Source organism: Homo sapiens, chromosome 18 (assembly GCF_000001405.40).
Source record: "Homo sapiens chromosome 18, GRCh38.p14 Primary Assembly".
Lineage (NCBI taxonomy): Eukaryota > Metazoa > Chordata > Mammalia > Primates > Hominidae > Homo > Homo sapiens.
In genome coordinates, this window is record NC_000018.10 from 23,742,414 (window position 1) to 23,764,106 (window position 21,693).

Genomic DNA, 21,693 nt, shown 5'->3' on the forward strand with positions numbered 1-21,693 from the left:
GAGGATCAGGGAAATTTGAATATGGACAATGTATTAAATACAATTTTGAATATATGGTAAAATTTCTTAGACATGAAAATGTTGAATTTATATAGAAGAAATATCCATAAAATTTCTTAGACATGAAAATGTTGAATTTATATAGAAGAAATATCCATGTTCTTGGAAGATAACATGCTGAAGTATTTAGGAGGAAAGTATTATGATGTCTGTAACTTCCTTTCAAAGAATCAAAAATGTGTGTGTGTGTGTGTGTGTGTGTGTGTAGAGAACAAAAAATATGGTATATTGTTAATAGTTGGTGAATCTAGGTGAAAAGCATGTGAGTATTCATTGTATTGTTCTTTGAGCTGTCCTGTAGGTTTACAAATTATGCAAAATAAAAAGTTGGGAGAAGTAAATTATGAAATGCTACCTTGTGGAATAGTATGTTTATTAAATTATAAAGCTATTGACAGACTGATCTCACTTTTATTATAAACTTAGAGTTTTCTGGCACAGGGAGTACTATTTAGTTGAGTAGGAAGCTTATTTTGTATGTGACTTTAAGTGTACTTGCACAGTATTTTGCACTTTCACAATCCCGTCTGTTAGTTTAATTTCAATTCAACAACATGTATTAAGCCTCTTTTCTGAGGATATAGGAGTGATTAAGACCAAAGATGGTGCAGCCTAGTGGGAATGACAGATGAAAACAGGTACCGCAGTGCATGACAGGTGCTCTTTTAGAAGGAGAATATCAAATTTGTATGAAGTAGATATTATTCTTCATTTTCTTAAATATCTTTTTTGATCATTTTATGAGCAAATAAATGAAATCTCAGAGTAGGTAAGTCATGTACTTGGAGTCACATAGCCAGTGGGTGACAGGGCAGAGATATCCCCCCCAGGGGAGTTGATTCTACTACAACTTAGCTTAGACACCAGGGTAGGACCACTTCGGGGTTCAGCTCTGTCTCTGTGTTTGCCAAATGGTACCTGCCCCTTGAACTCAGTAGCAGCTACACAGCTTTACTATCCATCCATCCATCCATCCACTCATTTATTCATTCATAGCATGTATTGAACACCTATTACATGCAGTCAGTCCAGGAAGGCCCTGAAATGAATAGAGGACAGGCTGTACCAATCTATAATTTCAGAGGCTTCAGAGCATGCAGCACTGGGGTGAGAAACAAGGATCAGAGGACACCCTCTTGTCTTCCCTACTCACCCTGAAGTCTTTTGAAGTTGAAGTGCCTCACACTCCCCCTTTTATGATCATTATCTGCTTTATTAAAACATTATTTAAAAGACTACTTTGTTTCTCTACCTAAACAATCACCAACACACTTCAAGCTATCTTTAGCTTATTACAAAAGCACGTGGAGAGATTACAACTCAGTCCCTCTCCATCATTTCTCCCCTTATCTCTGACCCCCAAATACGATCTCTTTGAAAATGCACAACTTTGCCTTTCTACCTACAGTGGCTCCATAGCTTGGTGCTTTCTAGTCTCACAGAGGGTCCTCGTTTATATCAGCAAATCTCTAGCAGCACTCATGTGTGCTTTGAAGTATTTTCAGTGGCCAAAGAGTAAACATAAGTACTGAGAGTAAAAAAGGAATGTAGCAGAAGGAGTGATTCAACAAGCATATAATTTAAAATTACCAACCAAAACAGAATAAATCCCTACCTGTTGGCTTAACATGCCTGAACCTGGCTGTGAACATAATTATGAGACCACTCACTCTGCCTCACTATGACATTTTGAATCTGCAAGTGTCAGAGGAGATTTGCTGCAGAGCTGGAGACCTTGGCAAGATTCCAGGGCATGTTACACAGCAGGGGTGGTGATAAATAACACATATAGTCGCTTGGTGCAAATGGGATCCAAACCAAAGAGATACACCCTACCAATATTCAGAGCACATAAACATACATTGGGGAACCTCAGAAATAATTCCTGAGACAAAAATGGGAGGGAAACATTGAAAAGTGGCATGTTCTAGCTAATTAGTGCTGGAAGATGAGTTGGTGCCATCAGTGGACTTATTAAGTTAGGCCTGGGTGGCAGGATACTGTAACAGGCAGAGGGGCACATCAATTGCTGCTAGAGTTGGGATTTTTAAGTGTCATAATGCTTCAAAAGAATCTGGCCGGGCACGGTGGCTCATACCTGTAATCCCAGCACTTTGGGAGGCTGAGGCAAGTGGATCACGAGGTCAGGAGATCGAGACCATCCTGGCTAACACGGTGAAACCCCGTCTCTACTAAAAATACAAAAAAATTAGCCGGGCGTGGTGGCAGGTGCCTGTGGTCCCAGCTACTCAGGAGGCTGAGGCAGGAGAATGGCGTGAACCTGGGAGGCGGAGCTTGCAGTGAGCCAAGATCGCACCACTGCACTCCAGCCTGGGCGACAGAGCAAGACTCTGTCTCAAAAAAAAAAAAAAAAAAAAAAAAAATCAAACGTTACCTAGAAACAAGATGAAACTTGTGGATTAAAGGGGACAAAAGAGACCTGACGACTCACTGCCATATGTAATCCTTGATTAAATTCCGAAATGGGAAAATAATACAATGGGGATTATTGAGAGGATCAGGGAAATTTGAATATGGACAATGTATTAAATACAATTTTGAATATATGGTAAAATTTCTTACACATGAAAATGTTGAATTTATGTAGAAGAAATATCCATGTTCTTGGAAGATAACATGCTGAAGTATTTAGGAGGAAAGTATTATGATGTCTGTAACTTCCTTTCAAAGAATCAAAAATGTGTGTGTGTGTGTGTGTGTGTGTAGAGAACAAAAAAATATGGTATATTGTTAACAGTTGGTGAATCTAGGTGAAAAGCATATGAGTATTCATTGTATTGTTCTTTGAGCTGTCCTGTAGGAGAGGACAGAGAGGCTCCCTTCTGAGCCACTGAAGCTACTTCTTTCATATAGCTTTGTAGTAGCAGAAAGTACAACTTTAGAAAACCAATGCCCTGAATTAACACTTGAGATATATCATAACATAGCTCCCCACCCCTGGGCTCTCTAGAATAGAATTTTAGCATATTGGGAAATAATGTTTGGCACTTCTCTGACAACTTCTTCCCCCCAAGATGAAACACGTCAAATATTCAGTACCTATTAGGTCCTGTGACATAGCAAACACTCAGTGGGTGGAATACACTTAGGCTGAGTGTTTTTATACCTGCAAGGTGTGGGTTTGTTACTTAACCTCTCTAGGCCAAACTTTCCTCATCTTTAAAGTGGGGTTAATAAAACTCCGCTTCTTATTATGAGGTCTAAATGAGAGAATGTTTGTGAAGTGCTTAACATGGTATGTGGAAAGACAGTATTCATTATTCATTAAATCATGACCTATTAGATAAATAGTTTTTTAGAGGGTTATGTGTGCTATGATTGTGGGAGTTTGGTGGAAGGGATTAAGAATGCTTTGAATGATTACTGTATTCAAAAAAGTTTCATTTGTAGTCTATCAAACTCACATAATTAACAGTGGCCTTATTTTGATGTGGTCTGAGAGAGATGTGCAAAGAGTTTTTAGCGAAATATATTAGCTCTGATTTTCCAAACATGAATTCTTGGATTTCCTATGAATTCCTTCACTACATAATAATGGGATGTGTCTTTGGAAATTGTTACACCTACGTTTAGAGTATTGCTTTATGATTTTCAGAGTACATTATAATTCCTAATTAGTTTTTATGAGGTTGGATCACTTTTTCCACGTGTTGGTAGACAACTCGGGAGTGTTAATCTGAGCCCAAATAAGCACTTTTTTCAAGATCAAAGAGCAAGTGTTTGATAGGGACAGAACTGGCTGAGCTTAGGGTTTCCAGTAATCAGTGTGACAATTCTTCCTTCCTCAGAGATAAGCAAAGGGGCTTCTTTGAGCAAAGGGTAAATCTCTGTGCCTGAGAGGAGTGGTTCTCAAAGTATGGATGAGAACCTGTGAGGGTCCCCAAGACCTTTTGGGAGGTCTACAAGGCCAGGGGTCCTCCTTCCTCCATTACAGATCTATGTGAGGCCAGATCTTCAAATACTTCAGCCAAACAACATATCACATCAGAGTGAATGAAGAAGCAGGTGTGGGAATCCAGCTTTCTCCTATTAAGCCCCAAACTCAGCGAGCTTAACAAAAATGTAAAGCAATGCCACTGCTCTCACCAAAAATTTCATGTTTTAGAAAATATAGTAATTTTTAATAAAATATATTTATGCTAACATGTAAAATGTTTGTTATATTAAATGAATTAATAGTATATCTAAAAGTTTTTTAACTTTAATTTTTAATATGGTGCACATCAATAGATAGAACTCATACAAACAAAAGTTTTTTTAGGTCTTCAATAATTTTTAAAAATATAAAGGGGGTCCTGAGACCAAAAAGTTTGAGTCTCATTGTCCTAGATTTTTTGGCTTCTGCTTTGGGGTTTGGAATGTTTACATTAGCTGGCAGTTCTCAGACTTAAAAAAAAAAAACAACTTACCATACTACTGTTTGTGAAAAATATTAAGATGAAACTCATTTTTTTTTTCTGGGAAAGAAAAGGAACCCACAGGGTCTGAGCACTCCCTACTCCCCAACTAGAGGAGCCTGTGGTTCAAAGGGCATTCTTGGGCTAGAGGCGAGTGCTCCTCAGACAGTCACCGGGAAATCTGTTGCCTGGGGGTCAGGGAGCCTGGAAGGGGGTGGGGATAATCCTCACTCATTAACACATTAACATAGATTTGCTTAACACCGTGTTCAATGTCGTACCAGGCTCTTTGGGAAATAGGACCTCAGGGTTCAAAATTCAAGCCAGATAAGTTTTGGGGGAAGGAATGGGAATAAACTGCAAAGGCTCCTGGGATTCACACATGAGGCACCATGGAGTTGAAGAGTGGGAGGTGAAGAAAGAAGGACCGAAGCCCCACTTCATCTCTTCCATACTTTTGCATCATCCTGGCCATGGGCAAAAGAGTGATGAGGGCGAATGAGAAAGCCAATAAGAGGGAGAACAATCAGGAAAAGATGAGGCCGGAGGAGATCCACAGGGAAGGAGTGCTACCACTCCATCAAATGGCTGCTTGGGTTTCAGTTCTGGCAGCTGTGATCTCTCCAAAACCTGGAACCAGGGTTAGGACACTGCTGGGAAACACTCTGGGCTGTTCTCCTGGTTCTTGGCCCTGGGAGGGTTTAGCACGTAATGACTACTGCTTGCCATCAGACTTTTCTGAATGCATAGACTTTAAGATACACTGTAGACTGGTTGCAATGGAATGGCATATTGGTTAAGGTGTGACAAAGATGATGATCAATGTGTATATTTGGTGGAGAAAGAAAGATAATGATTTTTGTTTTGAATTTGATCAGCTTGAGAGGCTGCAGCTGGGTAGAGATGTCCAATAGACAGGAATCAGGATCGGGATCTTGAGCAAGGGATTGTGGTGGGACGTGTTGCCTTGGGAATCAGCATCACATAGAGATGGTAGAAGCTGTGAATCGATGAGATGACATTAATAACTGTATCTCTTTTGTTTTATCAGCTCTTCCATGTGGCCTATATTTTAATCAAATTTGCAAATTCTCCTCGCCCTGATCTTTGGGTCTTGGAAAGATCTGTAGACTTTGGAAGCACCTACTCACCATGGCAATATTTTGCTCGTAAGTAATCTTGCCTACCATGTTATGCATGGCTTTAATTACTTGGAACAGATAAAGACTATGGATTTAATTAGAAAATTAATCTTGGCTGGGTGTGGTGGCTCACCCCTATAATCCCAGCATTTTGGAAGGCCAAGGCGGGTGGATTACCTGAGGTCAGGAGTTTGAGACCAGCCTGGCCAACATGGTGAAACCCTGTCTCTACTAAAAATACAAAAATTAGCCAGGCACATGCCTGTTATCCCAGCTACTCGGGAGGCTGAGGTCGGATTATCACTTGAACCCAGGAAGCAGATGTTGCAGTGAGCCAAGATTGTACCACTGCACTCCAGCCTGGGCAACAGGATGAGACTCTGTCTCAAAAAAAAAAAAAAAAGAAAAGAAAATTAATCTCTCAGTATGACTAGTTAGGGACTGGTCACTTTTAACCTCTAAATTACTCTCAGAACATTGACTGGGCGCGGTGGCTTATGCCTGTAATCCCAGCACTTTGGGAAGCCAAGGCAGGCGGGTCACTTGAGGTCAGGAGTTTGAGACCAGCCTGGCTAACATGGTGAAACCCTGTCTCTACTAAAAATACAAAAATAAGCAAAGTGTGGTGGTGTGCACCTGTGGTCCCAGCTACTCGGGAGGCTGAGGTGGGAGAATCACTTGAATCCAGGAGGCGGAGGTTGCAATGAGCCAAGACTGTGCCACAGCACTCCAGCCTGGGTGACAGAGTGAGACTCCATCTTGGAAAAAAAAAAAAAAAGAATATCCCCATTTTTCAAGCATGTGTTCAATAATTTCAAGGATACTACATGCAGAAATGAAGTAGAAACTCCTTTTATGATAACAGTTCTTGGCACTATTTGGGAGTACCTGTAAGATGGTAGAAGCTGTGAATTGATGAGATGACTTTAATAACTGTCATCTCCAATCTTTTCCCCTTTATGCAGAATTAGAAACTAAGTTCCATCTTTATAGTTCCTGTGCTGTGCTTTACTTACCTCAACTCTGTTATCTTCACTAATGAAGAATGTCAGGGTTTCTGAACCCTATGATGAACAGAGGTGGACAAGAATTTTGCTTATAAAGGCATTGGGTTTTCCACTAGGTTTCCTTAGAAGATAAACTTGCCTAAGTATGAGCGTGGAGTTAGCACTGCATCTCCAAGCATTGCCACTGAAAGTCAACTGGCCTGAAATGGCTTGGTATTTTCTTTCATGAATTAAAAACTCCATTATCAGCCTTTCTCTAAAAGTTTTAAATGCCTTTCTGTTTTTTCTTTCTTTGTGTATTTTCTTAAGGAAACATAAGGCTTCTTAAGAGATTTGCAACAAAATGATAATATTTTGTTTTATAATATTAAAATATTTTCCTTCTAGATTCTAAAGTAGACTGTTTAAAAGAATTTGGGCGGGAGGCAAATATGGCTGTCACCCGGGATGATGATGTACTTTGTGTTACTGAATATTCCCGTATTGTACCTTTGGAAAATGGTGAGGTAAGTAGATTTGGAAGACTGGGAGAGATAAGACTCAGAAATGACCATGAGGATATCCAATTTTTCATAATTGCGAAACTTGCACTTTCAAGGACATCTAACATAGATCAAGATGGAAACAGGGCTTGGGACTGAACAGTAAAGGAATCACATTGAGGGCTCCCAGAATGAGCCAGGTTGGAAATTCTGTTGGGGGATTTCAGTTATCCCCAGAAAGTCAGGATTCTTGATCCAAAGCCCGCAGGTCTTGAACTGTCCTTTCTGGTGATGTATTTATAAAGTGGGTTGCTGGTAACTGAAATGATGACCCCTTACCTCTTCACCTATGATCCCATGATACCCCGTAAGAGTGAGGAGAGGAAGGACAGGTGGCAGCAGGTAGATTTTCTCTATACTGTCTCTTCCCTCATCTGATGACCAGATGTAGGGGATCCAGAGGAGGACTCTGAGGTCCTACAGAACGGCTGCACCTCTAGATAGAAAGAGCCTGCTTCCCTGAATGACTGCATGGAGCCGATCCTACGTGATCCCTGATCCCTTTTGGTAGAATGGGTGTAATCTGTTGGAGAGAAAAAATTGCTGTCCCTGTGGGGTTGCATTTGGCCCTTGTAAAGTCAGGTTGGCTATTGTTAAGGGAGATGGGCAAACAAAGGTGAAACAATCAGAGAAGATTTCCATGGAAATTGTGAGGCCATAATGAATATGAACTGAGTTTCAAATAAACTTCCTTCAAAGGTGTCAGCCTCCCTCTCTTTAAGTAGAGAGATCTTACTTGAGCATGTGTATGCGGTATCTTCTGACAGCTCATGAGTGGTTCATATTTCCAATGGTTGACACTTGGGCTTCATCACTTTGGGCTTTAAAACAAAATGGAGGGTTTACACAGTTTTTTTTTTTTTTTTTTTTTTTTTTTTTTTTTTTGCCCCATTACTGTCAAACTTTATATCTAGAGATTTCCTTTTTTCAACCTCATGTAGATTTTTGGGTTACTTTAGCTTTGTTTCTTTGATGCAGCTTAAGAAAGTTGTGTCCTTATATTTACAGGTTTTAACATTATGTTTTCAACATTTCATAGTGTTACAGTCCCACAACTACCCTGATAGAACAAAGGCTTTGAAAACGTAATGATAACATCTCCCGAGAGCCCAGATTTCAAAGACGTATTGCCAGACCTTGGAACCAGGAAGTGTGAGGGAAGATGGGACTAGCAATGATGTTTTTAGACATAAACAAGACCCAAGACCCCCTACGAATATCAAATGGCTCAAAGAAACCAAGTGCCTTGGGGCATGTGAGTTATTTTTACTTACTTGCTGCTAAATTTTGATAAAAGGAACTTTTTCCCCCTTTATGTGTGTGTGGTCATTTTAGGTTGTGGTGTCCTTGATAAACGGTCGTCCAGGTGCAAAAAATTTTACTTTCTCTCACACCCTGAGGGAGTTTACCAAGGCAACAAACATCCGCTTGCGTTTTCTTAGAACCAATACGCTTCTTGGACACCTCATCTCCAAAGCCCAGCGAGATCCAACTGTCACTCGGCGGGTGAGTAGTCAGAGCATTTGTTTTGTTACTTTATTTATTCATTTTTTTGGCTTACCAAATTAATTGCCTTGAACTCTTTTAAGTAACCTTTATAGCCTGTAATGATGTAGGTGTGGGAGTTGTTCTTATCTGAAATACTAGATATAATTAGGAGTTTATATCTAATGACTTATAAAAATGGCTGTTTGAAGAAAAATCATTATATTCAAAGAAGATGAAAGGCAAATGATTATAGTCAGCCTGGTACTAGTCTGGATGGGATAATTAATACTACAGCCAACAATTCCCAAATCTCAGTGGCTTAACAAAATAAAGCTTTGTTTCTTGCTCCTATTACAGTTTAACATGGGTCAGCAGGTAGGATCGGCTCCACACAGTAATTCAGGGAAGCAGGTTCTTTCTATCCAGAGGTGCAGCCATTTTGTAGGACCTCAGAGTCCTCCTCTGGATCCCCTACCTCTTGGTCCTCAGATGAGGGAAGAGAGAGTATAGAGAAAAATCTACCTGCTTCTCATCAGAGGTTACTTCTATGGGCAAGAACTGGTCATATCATAGCCTCACTTAGATGCAAGGAGGCTGGGTGATGTCATCTAGCTGAAATGGAGGCACATAGGTATTGGTGAGCACTAGTACCCTCTCCTGTGTTGGAGGTACACCATGAACATCTCTCACTCTCAGGTGTCAGGGCAGTACACTTGTCTCCTGGGCACAGAGGGAGCCCACAGAATAAACACATTGAGCTCACTCTTCTTCCACCCTCTGATCTACTGGTGCCTTCCATTGGCCAAAGCAAACAAGAAGCCAGAGAGAAAGACAGTCCATTGGTTGCAACCATAAAGTTCAGCTCCTGGGCACAGGACAGGGTGGAGAACGTGGAGAGCAGATCTGGAGGGTGAATGGAAGATGCCCAGTGCACCTTATAGAGTTTGGCTTTTTATATAGGTAACATCAGAGAGCTGGGAAAGGAAGGGAGGGAAAAGTATAAGTATTGCCACAGTTTTGAGCATTTTCCAGAAAGGCAGGCACCTTGGGTGTAGGTGGCCTATCTTTTGTATTTTTTTGCTCTCCTCAGCTCCCTCTGAGCTTCTGTGTAGTTGGGGACTGTGTTGAATCTGAGGATGGATATTTACAAGGGAGGGCTGGACTTTCTCATAAACTATAGCCGGGCTGTGTTTCTGTTCCTCCATGTGCCCTGGAGCACTGCCACAAATGTACCCTACCAATTTTTTTTTTCTTAAATTGTCTTTTTGGGGGTTGCAAGATTTGCAGTCATATATATCTATGTATATTACTTTTCACTTAGATGAATACAGGCCTCTCCATTAAATAATTGTTTTATGGAGTATACCACACACATAATACATAATCTTAACCCCCCAAGTTTAGGTTGCTTCTTTCATGGAGGAATATAATACCAGCTACCTTATGACACAGATCACGTGTGCTGCTGGGTGAAGGCTGACTGGGGGCTTCTCTTGCTGCTGCTGCCCTTAATACGTGTGGAGGGGAACTTTTACAGTGGCCAGCAGGAAAGCCCCTGAGTGTTAACTTGTCACAGAAAGCCCTGGTAATACTGACTTTATCTGTATTAACAAGGGGGGCTGTTAATGCCTTCAGACTAAGATGTTTCCAGGAAGCATTGATACTTTAACAGGTTTTAATTAGGGAACCAGAACAGAACCCCAACATTAAATCAATAGAGCTCTTTAAGGCAGCCACACTCAACAACAACAACAACAATAAAGGGACAAAAACCCTCTTGTCCTTGCGAATTCAAAGACTTCTTGCTGACAGATATTCTTCTCACTGGCAGCATGGCCTCAATGAGAAAGATTGTTCTACAGTCCTCACATTCCTCCCAAATCCTGGGCAGTCTCCTGCCAAGTCTGAGAAGGAAGGTTGCTGGCAGAGGGAGCTGGCAGGAGGAGCTGCCTATTGTCAGCACTGCAGAGGCCTCCAACATATTGGAGAGGGGCCTTGTCAATGAGAGGGTATACACATATTTGTGGCCTGGTTTAGGGGCCAATCCTCAGCTGGATCTGAGCTGGCTCTGTCTGGCCTTTCTGGAGCTTGAAACTTTGACTCTAGCCTTTTTGACCCTGTGCTAGGAAGTCTTCAGCAAATACTGGTGGCCCCTCCAGTCTCAGGGATGTATTGGATCCATCTCTGTAAATATTATCTCCCTTCCCAGAACCTGGGATAGTATTTTGCGCAAAGCAAGTGCAACATTTTTTGGTATAAAAATTTAGTTTTGATAAATAAATATTTTCAATGTATAAAATTCATTTGTAAAGAACATAATGTAAAAATTATTTTAATTTACATAAAAAATAAACTTGGAAGTAATTGATCCCTTTCCTATAGGCTATAAAGTATGATTCCTTTCTAAGGCAATTTCCCTTCATGAACTTCAAGCATTTGATTTTTTTAAATGCACAAATTCAGCAGTATGTTATTACATTTTATTGAGGAATGTGTTTATTTTATAAGACATGTTACATCCCAATGTAGGGCTCAAGAATACGGAATTTTAAAAGGGAAGCAGAGGCAGCAGATGTGGGTTAAAGACTAGTAAGAGAAAGTTTTTGTCACTGTTCAGTGAAACTTGCATGTTCTGTGTTCTGTTGTGCAGTATTATTACAGCATAAAGGACATCAGCATTGGTGGGCAGTGTGTTTGCAATGGCCATGCTGAAGTGTGCAATATAAACAATCCTGAAAAACTGTAAGTACACTGTACAGATTTTTTTCAGCCTTACTATGATTAAGTCTAATTATTTCAGTGGATGTTTGCATCCCGTTAAATGTTTCTAGGTTCCTGTCCTCAATAGGAATGATTCAGGATCAATGAATAGGTGGGGGGTGTGTGCCTCCTCTCCACCAACTCTCCATTTTCTTTCACATAACCCCTATAGGCCCTGGCAGACACGGCTAATCAATCACAGCACTCTGGAAAATCTGTGTCCCAGCCACCAGATCACCCCCAAGACATACCTCAGGCAGCCAATTGATTAGAGCTGGCAAGAGAAATAAAACTTGTCATTCCTGGTTTAATGGGATCAGGGTATACATTTCAAATCCTTGTTTTTTAAATTGTGGTGAAATACACATCAAATTTACTATTTTAACCATTTTAAAGTGACAGTTCAGTAGTGGTAACTATGTTCACGTTGTTGTGCAACCAATCTCCAGAACTCTTCGTTTTGCAAAATTGAAATTCTATACCCGTTAAACAACTCCTTGTTTCCTCCTACCACTGGCCCCTGGCAACCATCATGACTATCCTAGGTACCTCATATAAGTGGAATCATACAGTATTTGTCCTTTTGCAACAAATACTGGGTTATTAAATTTGTCATCACTTATTTCACTTAGCATAACGTCCTCAAGGTTCATCCATATTGAGCATGTGTCAGAATTTTCTTTTTGTTCAAAGCTGAACAGTATTTCCTTGTATATATGTATATATTACATTCTGTTTATCCATTCATTCGTGGATACACACTTGGGGTGCTTCCACCTTTTGGCTATTGTGAATAAGGCTGCTGTGAACATGAATGTACCCTTTTTGTTTTTAGTTTGAGTATATTTTGCATACAATAATATGCATGAGTCTTAAATGTTGAGGTTCAGCCATACATTTGTGTTACCACTGCAAGAGGGATACTTTAAAGGGCTGGAAATTACCGGATGCCAGATATAGTAATCATTTTATCTCAATGTTTAACTTAAAGTCTACAATATTTCATGAGCAGCATTTACCAGAGATGTATTTCACTTTTAGTCAGATTCAGGCTTGTGCTTCTTTAGGTCTAGCTTTGTGTTCAGGCAGAATTGCTAGTTCTCAAGGTCTGTGATGTGCGTTGTGGGGCCCTTCTCCTTGACCAGCCATAACCCTTAATGTTGTTGTTCCCCCTTCAAGGATTCGGCAGTGCTGTTGAGAGAGCTTACGCACAAAATGATTAAACTTTAGTGGAAAATGACTTGTTTATTAATGGTTAATCTATTTCCACCCTGTAATCTCCTATCTCCCTAAGACACTAGAAATCAGGTCACATAAGTTCTGAGTTGGAGAGAGGAGAGAAGAGGTCCAGCTAATGTCCCTGAGCCTGGAACAAAATACTGCCATGTGGGAAAGGAGTACACGCCATCACAGAGGGCATGAGCTTCCTGCTTAGAAAGGCTACTGAACCCTGGAGACCCTGGAGAACTGGAGGAGTTCTACACTGGGTGGTTAATTCTCCCAATACACATGTGTGGAGGTCTCCCCAAGCCTTGGTGAAAGGCTCAGTTTGGCAGCAATCCACTTCAACATGACTGCCTGCCTTTCCTTGTCTGCTGGTTTGCTTCTGCCCAACAGGCTGAACTTGAACAAATGCTGATGAAATCCACATCCATGATGAGGTAGAAATCTTATAACAATTTAAAGGGATTCAGAAACTTAATGGGTAGAGCCAAGCCTGGACAATCAGAAAAATTACTTGCTAATGAGGCAGAACCCAAGAAGAGGGGTTTAACCAAGCATGTGTACCATGTTGACCTTGCTGCATGGATAAGCGGAAGGACCTCAAATTTAATTCTGAGCTTCCTAGCAGCCAACTCAAAAAGGGAAATCTGCTTGGTTTCATATTTCACTATGATCATAAGCTAAAAAGTAATAAGTTACTTAGAAAAAACATGATTGTTGACACTAGTGCCAAATAACAATTTTCCCTAGGGGTGGGGCAGAGTGGTCATCACGAAGGGAATTCTCTAATCAATGACATCTTTAAATAACATATTTACAGCAGGTGTATTATTAACCATCAGTCTGGGCTGCAACAGAGGAAAAGCAGTGATTTGGCAGTGCCAATGGGACTCAGATGGGTACCCAGCTCCTTTTTTTGCTATGCTCAATTTTAATCCCCCTATGTGTGGAGTTGGACTACATATTCTTGAAGCAGTCTTCCCTAAATAATCTTGTAGTCTAGCTAATGTCAAATGTTTAATTGGCAATGAGCTGAAATTGCCTCTCCAACAAGGGCCCATTTGGATGCCACTTGTTCTGTGCTGCCAGGTAGATCTATGTCCATGTGCTTTAACAGGCAGTTGAGTGTGGAGAGGGATGACACCCTCTCTTGGGAATAAAACTGAATATATGCCACGCCACCTTCCCTTAGAGTAGAGTTGATGGAATCCCTACAGGCACAGCCAAGAGCCTTCTTAGACAAGGCATTTTGCTGTTGTTCTTTTAATAGTCTCGGGTCTTTATTTGACTCAAACCGAACACTGCACGTCTCTCATATTTAAAAAAAAAAAAAAGCTGTTTGCTCAATGCCGCACAAACGACGGCATGCGGGGACACCCCCGCCGCTTCCCCCGCCCCCACCCCCCCGCCAAAAAAAACCCAAAAAAACCCCACAACCCAAACCCAAAGCCTCTTTCATATTCACGATATTCAGGAAGCACCAGCTACGGAGTCAAGCATCTTGGTTTAGATTTAGTCTCTGCCTACAATCACGGCCTTTGTCAAGTGAGTTTATCTCTGAGCACCAGTATCGTCATCTGCAAAGTGGGGCAAGTTCCATCTACCGCAGTGAGACAGGAAAGGGGCTCCAAAACTGAGAGCTGCCATCACAGTAGATGTTGTAAGGGCCGGACGAAGAACTCCAGAATCCTGGTGCTACCAGCACACTTCACCTGAGCCACGGCATCCCAGGCTCGGGAGTGCCAAGACTCAGGGAGCCCTGGATGGGGCGCCTGCACCCAGTCCTTCCCCAACCACGTGGCAACCATGTGCTCCCAGTGGTGGTTGCCTCCTCAGTCCCCTCCAAGCCTCCCCGCTCCCCGTTCCCTGCCCCCGCCCCCCACTCCCTTCCCCCGCCCCGCCCCGCCCCGCCCCAGTAACTGGCTGAAGCACCAGGGTGAATTCTGGGTCCAGGAGCCCCAGACTCTGAGGCCTGGGGACTGGAGAACAACGCCAGGCTGGGCGTCTGTGCCCTCCTCCAACAGGGAGGCGCGTGCTTCCCCGCAAACCCAGCCTCCTGGACCAACCCAGCCCGGAATTAGAAGCCTAGGACGCCCACCTGACGCACGCTCCTAGGAAAACAACCACTACCCAGCTCCAAGCAACCCGAACTTTCGGCAGGCTGGTTCCACCTTACCTCAGGCCCTGGGCCTCGCCTGGCTCACGCTCCTGAGGCTTCAGGCCGTCTTCCCACCCCTTCATGCCCCCGGCTGCCTCGTGGCTCCCATCCTTCCAGATCCAGCAGCTCTTCCCACTTCCCTCAGGCCTCCAGCCTGCTTGGCGCTCTCCAGCAGCCCGGGATGCAGCCGGATTCCCACCTCTAACCCTTCCCCTCCCCTTCCTCCTCTCCAGCCCCTCCTCCTCCCCAGTCCCCTCCCCAGCCCCCACCCTCACTGCCACTAGACCCTTCTTGGCCTCGCTCCAGCTCCCCCCAGCAGTTGCCAAAAAGATAGTTCTGAGGCCTCAGGGGGCTCATCCATCGAATCTTCTGTGGAGTGGTGGCGCGATCTTAGGTGAGAGAGAGAAGGCAGACAAAGAGGAACGACTCCTGCTCCACAGACAGCTGCGCAAGACGGAATCACACCAGGGCTGGACAATGGTTTTGAATCCTCTTTCAAGTACGGAAGGAGGGAGCTCAAAGCTTGGAGTTCCAACCCAAAGCCAAGGCTGAAACAATTTCATTTTAACTTGGAATGTTAAGGCAGATGTACACCCTTTTGAAATGAGACTTTTAACCCTTTGCTTCTCTGAGTGGTCTCAGCTTTTGGCCCCATGATGGAGCTGGCGCAGCCTCTGGAAGCAGAGCCCTCTGGGATCTTATTAGCAGCTGGTCCTTGAATTGGGTAAAGCATGACCACAGGTTGAGAGTAAGAAACTTGAGCAGATCTTAGTCGTAGGACTCCAGATCTTTATGCAGGTGTGATACTTAACACATCTCAGTAAAGTCAGCACTTGAGTGCTCCTGTGTTCCTTTATTGTAACAATGGGGTAGAGAAGACAGAGCTGGGGCCTCAGAGCCAAGTGAGGTTGGAAGTCTGGCTCTCCATTTATCACTGCCTGACCCTTGGCAGGTATCTTAATACCTCTGATTCTCAGTCTCACCATCTGTAAAATGGAGATAATAAATAAGCAGGATATGGGAGGCTTAAATAATACTTGCGAAGTGTTGTGTTCTCCTAATTCCTCAATGAATGGTGCCGTGGATGACCGTGATGACTCGTGTGTCAGGTTCGCACTATAGGATCAACTGATCCTCATCAAAACTTTTCAATAACTGAGATGCACTTCGCCCACATGCCCAGGTTTCGGTGTGAATGCCAGCACCACACCTGTGGGGAGACGTGTGATCGCTGCTGCACAGGGTACAATCAGAGGCGCTGGCGGCCCGCCGCTTGGGAGCAGAGCCACGAGTGTGAAGGTGGGTGTGGGGATGGGGTGGGGGCCACACGTGGCCTTCTCCCCCCTCTCCCTGGGGGCTGAGGCTATTTTCCCCATGCTAGAGAAGAGGCTGTGGTCATGTCAGTGTTAGGGGCTCAAGTCTGTCTATTGTAATAAGAACCTCAGACTGCAGGGAAAAGTGCCCTCCTCTGAATTCAGATGTACATTTGAGAAGAAAAAGAACAATAATGATGATGACCATGCATGATGGGGCTCCGTGCTTTAATACGTTGACCTCTTTTTTTAGCAATCATAAATATGATGCAACCACTATAAAATTTTAACATCTTATCCATTTCATAGGACGTGATACTGGATAGGAATCAACTATTTTGAGGACCAAGGTCCAGAGAAGACGGCAAGGTTGAGTCTAAACAGGGAGCTGGGAGTACTGGAGTATGGAGTGCTGGGAAGTGTAACATGGTAGGATTGAGGAGGATGGAGAGGACCAGAGAAGGAATAAAAAAAGTTGGGAAACTGCTTTTAAGAGTGTAACATAAAGTAAGAAAAGCGTTTTTTTTTTGTTTTTGTTTTTTAGGCCTGATGTGGTGGCTCCCAGCACTTTGGGAGGCAAAGGTGGGAGGATTGCTTGAGGCCAGGAGTTGGAAACCAGCCTAGGCAACATAGTGAGACTCTGTCTACAAAAAATTGAAAAATTAGCCAGAGGTGGTGGTGCAGGCCTGTAGTCCCAGCTACTTGGGAGGTGGAGGTGGGAGAATGGCTTGAGCCCAAGAGTTGGTGCAGTGAGCTCTGATCCTGCCACTGCACTCCAGCCTGGGTGAAAGGATAAGATCCTGTCAAAAAAAAAAAAAAAAAAGAAGAAAGACAACTGCTATTTTTAACAAACAAACCCTAAGACATCCAACTATAGATTTTCTTCTAAATAAATCTCCTTGTGAAGCTACATATTTATTCCAGTTGCAGAAAACATTTCATTCACTGCAACCTCTGCCTCCCAGGTTCAAGCGGTTCTCCTGCCTCAGCCTCTCCAGTAGCTGGGATTACAGACACCTGCCACCATACCTGGCTAATTTTGCTTGTTTGTTTGTATTTTTAGTAGGGATGGGGTTTCGCCATGTTGGCCAGGCTGGTCTTGAACTCCTAGCCTCTTGGGATCCACCCACCTTGGCCTCCCAAAGAGCTGGGATTATAGGACTTTATACTTTTTGACCAAATATTTTTTGTAACTATTAGGAGATAAGACTGATGATCTCTTATGGCCAGTAAACTTATGTAAAAGGTGTTCCCAGTGGTCTTCCAAGGGAGTTTTGAGAGATGCTAAAGTTCTGGGAAGGTCTTGTGGCCATCTCAGGGAAATGCTCTGGCGCACCTCTGAGTCCCAGGTGTTGCTTGGATGGCCATCTCACTTTATAGTCACAGCTAATCGGTTCCTTCTCAATGACTTCTCCATTGCTCACCCCAGATGAGGGGACCAGAGAGAGAGAAAGGTATAATAAAAGTAACCAGGGGTTGTTTCTTTTGCTGCTTTCAAACACTGATTTAGGATATTTTTAATTGAATTAACCATTATTACATGAATTCCAGCATTTGCAACCTGATTAGTTTTCCAGACTAATGGAACCCTTTGTAAATAACATGCTTCACTCCAACACATACAAAAAAAATTTAAATCTCCTTTAATAAGTTTTTATCCTTTTAAAATGTATTAAATTGTTAAAAGTTACAAAAATAGTGCATGAAAATCAGACCTATCAGGATCCATTTATTAGGTGCTTTCTAAATTCCCTTTGAAATATACAATTCAAAATAAACAGACTTCTTAACTGATGTAGTAAATATAAATGTCTTGATTTTTTAAAATCATGGCACCACAGAGAAAATGAAGATAAGAAAGCATTGAGCCTGTTTTACAAGTTATAGGGTAATTTGTGTAATATCTAATTAAGTCTTCCTTCACATAGTCACCTGGGAAATTGATTAAAACATACAAATTACTAACAAGACTTGGAAATTTTGATGTAATTAGAATATAATGAATATATAGTCTGCCTAAGAAAGAATAAGAATTTTACTCATGTTAAATATTTTTCATTGTGGCAAAGATGAAAATCCCAAATGAGTTTTAAATTATACTTTGTAATTTTAGAAGTGTTATATACTACTTGTAGATAACTTGGAAATTAAAAAAATAAATAAAGTAAAATCACCAAGAATTTAACTACCCCAACAGTGTCTTAGTCTGTTCAGCTGCTGTAACGTCTGGGTAGCTTATAAACAATAGCCTCAAAGTTCTGGAGGCTGGTAAGTCCAAGAGTAAGGCACCAGCAGATTCGGTGTCTGGTGAGGGCCTGCTTTCTGGTTCATAGATGCCACTTTCTTGCTGTGTCCTTACGTGGTGGAACGGGCAAGGAAGCTTTCTGGGCCTCTTTTATAAGGGCACTTATCACCTCCCAGAGGGCCCATCTCCTAATAACTGGTGATTAGGTTTCACCTATGAATTTGGGGTGGGGGGGGCACAAGCGTTCGGACCATAGCAGAGAGCTACTATTAATATTTTGTTAGATACGTAGTATTTTATACATACTTTAAATACTCAAGATTATATAATCTACATAATTTTATATCCTAATTTTTTCACTTGATATTTTTAGCTATTTCCCCATGTTTTCCCAATCATTAAAAATGCTTTGACATCATTTTTGATGGTACAGAGTTTTGTTCCAAGTGTTTGTTGAGTACCCACTGTGTGCTGAGAACTATGCTCTATTGCAAACAAAACACATACAGCCCTTGGTGTCATAGAACTTAAAGTCAAACAAATATATTGTTGCTTGCTGAGCCATTCCCCTACAATTAAACATTAAGATTATTCCCATACGATTACCATATAGTGTTGAAATGAAAGGTTTAGAGTGTTGGCTAAGAGCATAGGTTCTGCAGTCAAACAAAGACAGGTTGGAATTTCGCCTCTTCTAGTTATAAGCTATGTAACGATGGGCATATTCCTCAACCTAAGCCCCAGTTTTCCAATCTGGACTATAGGGATGATGGTACCTACCTTAGAGAGTTACTGCACAGATTAAATGAGATAATTCATGTAAAGCACTTTTCACAGTGTGTTAAGAGCTCAATTGCTATTGTTAGTAGTAGTAATAGTGGTAGTAATAATATTCTCTTCGTGCATGAAGTTTAATTGGCATTTGGATGTATTTTTTTTGACAGTGAAATTTTATTTTATTGAATTTTGTATGTATAAAACATGCCAGTAAAATAAAGAAATAATGAAACAAAGATTATATACAAAAGTTTTTGAATTAATACTATTTAAATACATTAGTTGTTAAGGGAAAAATTAGAGCTACATACTGGTCTTTCACAGTAATAAATAATAATGTTAGTGTTTAATTGCAATTAAATAAAAACTCCAACTAAAATAAATATATTGCTGGGTGGGTGGCTCATGCCTGTAATCCAAGTACTTTGGGTGGCCAAGGCAGGAGGATCGCTTGAGCCCAGTAGTTGGAGATCAGCCTGGACAACACAGTGAAACCTTGTCTCTACAAATAATTAAAAATTGGCTGGTCATGATGGCACGTGTCTGTGGTCCCAGCTGCTTGGGAGGCTGAGGTGGGAGGATTACTTGAGCCCACATAGTTGAGACTGTGGTGAGCCGTGACCACACCACTACACTCCATCTGGGTGACAGTGAGATCCTGTTGCAAAAGTAAATAAATAAAATAAATATATTATTCAAGTTGTTGACCTAAAGGAAGATGCTGCGGCACAAAATACAGTTTTAAGGAGGTTACTTAATGGCTGGGCGAGGTGGCTCATGCTTGTAATCCCAGCACTTTGGGAGGCCGAGGCGGGCAGGTCACTTGAGGTCAGGAGTTCAAGACCAGCCTGGTCAACATGGTGAAACCCCATCTCTACTAAAAATACTAAGGTTAGCTGGGTGTGGTGGCTGGTGCCTGTAGTCCCAGCTACTTGGGAGGCTGAGGTGGGAGAATCGCTTGAACCCAGGAGGCAGAGGTCGCAGTGAGTCGAGATCGTGCCACTGCACTCCAGCCTGGGTGACAGAGCGAGACTGTCACCAAAAAAAAAAAAATTTACTTGAACCAAAATGAGGATAGCTGCCCCGACACACTTCCAAGTTGCCTTGGGCAGTGCTCCTGCATTTCAGTGTACCTTCCTTTGAAGATATGATTATATATCTTTCTTTGGGAGTGGGGGCGGTGGCAGGGAGAATGGAGTCTCACTCTGTCACCCAGGCTGGAGTGCAGTGGCACTATCTTGGCTCACTACAAACTCTGCCTCATGGTTCCAAGGATTCTCCTGCCTCAGCCTCCCAAGTAGTATATATATATATTTTTTTTTTTTTTGAGATGGAGTCTCGCTCTGTCACCCAGGCTGGAGTGCAGTGGCGAGATCTTGGCTCACTGCAACCTCCGCCTTCTGGGTTCAAGCGATTCTTCTGCCTCAGCCTCCCGAATAGCTGGGACTACAGGCACATGCCACCACGCCTGGCTAATTTTTGTATTTTTAGTAGAGACAGGGTTTCACCATATTGGCCAGGCTGGTCTCGAACTCCTGAACTCATTGTGATCCATCCGCCTAGGCCTCCCAAAGTGCTGGAATTACAGGTGTGAGCCACTATGCCTAGCCCCAAGTAGTATTTTTTTAAAAAAAGAGAAACTTCGCTCATGGAATATCAAATGAAAGGAGCTCTAAACTGTATCTTAGTATATCCTGGTCTTTGTGTAAAGATCCCTAAAAATTTTCCCCTAAGAGTGTCCTGGGTGTTCCAGAATATACTTTTTTATAGCTCAATTAGCAGTAATACTATTTACGCTATTTACTAAGCGTCTGATAGTAATAATGAGAATATTGACTTATTATGCTTTTTTTTCAGCATGCAACTGCCACGGCCATGCCAGCAACTGTTACTATGATCCAGATGTTGAGCGGCAGCAGGCAAGCTTGAATACCCAGGGCATCTATGCTGGTGGAGGGGTCTGCATTAACTGTCAGGTGAGGCACTATTTAAATCAAAGTGGATGTGTTGTCATGGGGAATGAGTATTCAGTAAGCTCTGCTCCTGAAGAGATGTCAAGAAAGTGGCAGGCAATCGTAAGAGTTTTCTGAGACCATTTCTCCACTGTTGCTCACACAAGGCCTTGTTAGCTGGATGTAATTTAGGGATTGTAAGGAAAATGGACTGAGGTATGTTTACCCACACCCCTTTGATCAGTTTCTCGATTTAAATTTTGCCTAAATGGAGAGGAGGATTCCAGGTTATCATCTCTGGCTGCTATCCAACTTGTGATAGAAAAACTCTAAGATAGGAGGACAAGTAGTTATTAATGTTAGTGCTGACCCTACATCCTGTTTTCAGACAGATTCTGAGTCTAGACTCAGTGAGGAAATGCATCATGATCAATTAATGATGTCTTTCATAGACATCAAATATGAAACACTAATTTTTCATTCCTTCTGTAGGACAACTGGTTTCACTGGAATTTAGTTAAGGGAGTGTATGGCGGAAGAGGGCATCTCTTCATTGAGATATTCATTAACAGTCCTGTCAAATGTTTATGAATTTGGTCTACATTGT

At 42.1% G+C, this 21,693-nt stretch overlaps 1 protein-coding gene across 13 annotated transcripts in view; it reads left to right on the forward strand.

Moving 5' to 3' along the window:
* The window catches only part of LAMA3 (laminin subunit alpha 3), a 265,614-nt gene that overhangs the window by 52,961 nt on the left and 190,960 nt on the right, over nt 1-21,693 (forward strand). For all 13 annotated transcript variants that reach the window (NR_130106.2, XM_011525978.3, XM_011525982.3 and 10 more), the window contains exons 3-8: nt 5,530-5,647; nt 7,015-7,133; nt 8,505-8,675; nt 11,308-11,399; nt 15,983-16,098; nt 20,992-21,110. Coding sequence is in view for 12 of the 13 variants with exons in the window: in XM_011525978.3 (XP_011524280.1) it covers nt 5,530-5,647; nt 7,015-7,133; nt 8,505-8,675; nt 11,308-11,399; nt 15,983-16,098; nt 20,992-21,110 (735 nt within the window). In the remaining variant the exon portion in view is untranslated. The remainder of the gene's footprint in view (nt 1-5,529; nt 5,648-7,014; nt 7,134-8,504; nt 8,676-11,307; nt 11,400-15,982; nt 16,099-20,991; nt 21,111-21,693) is intronic.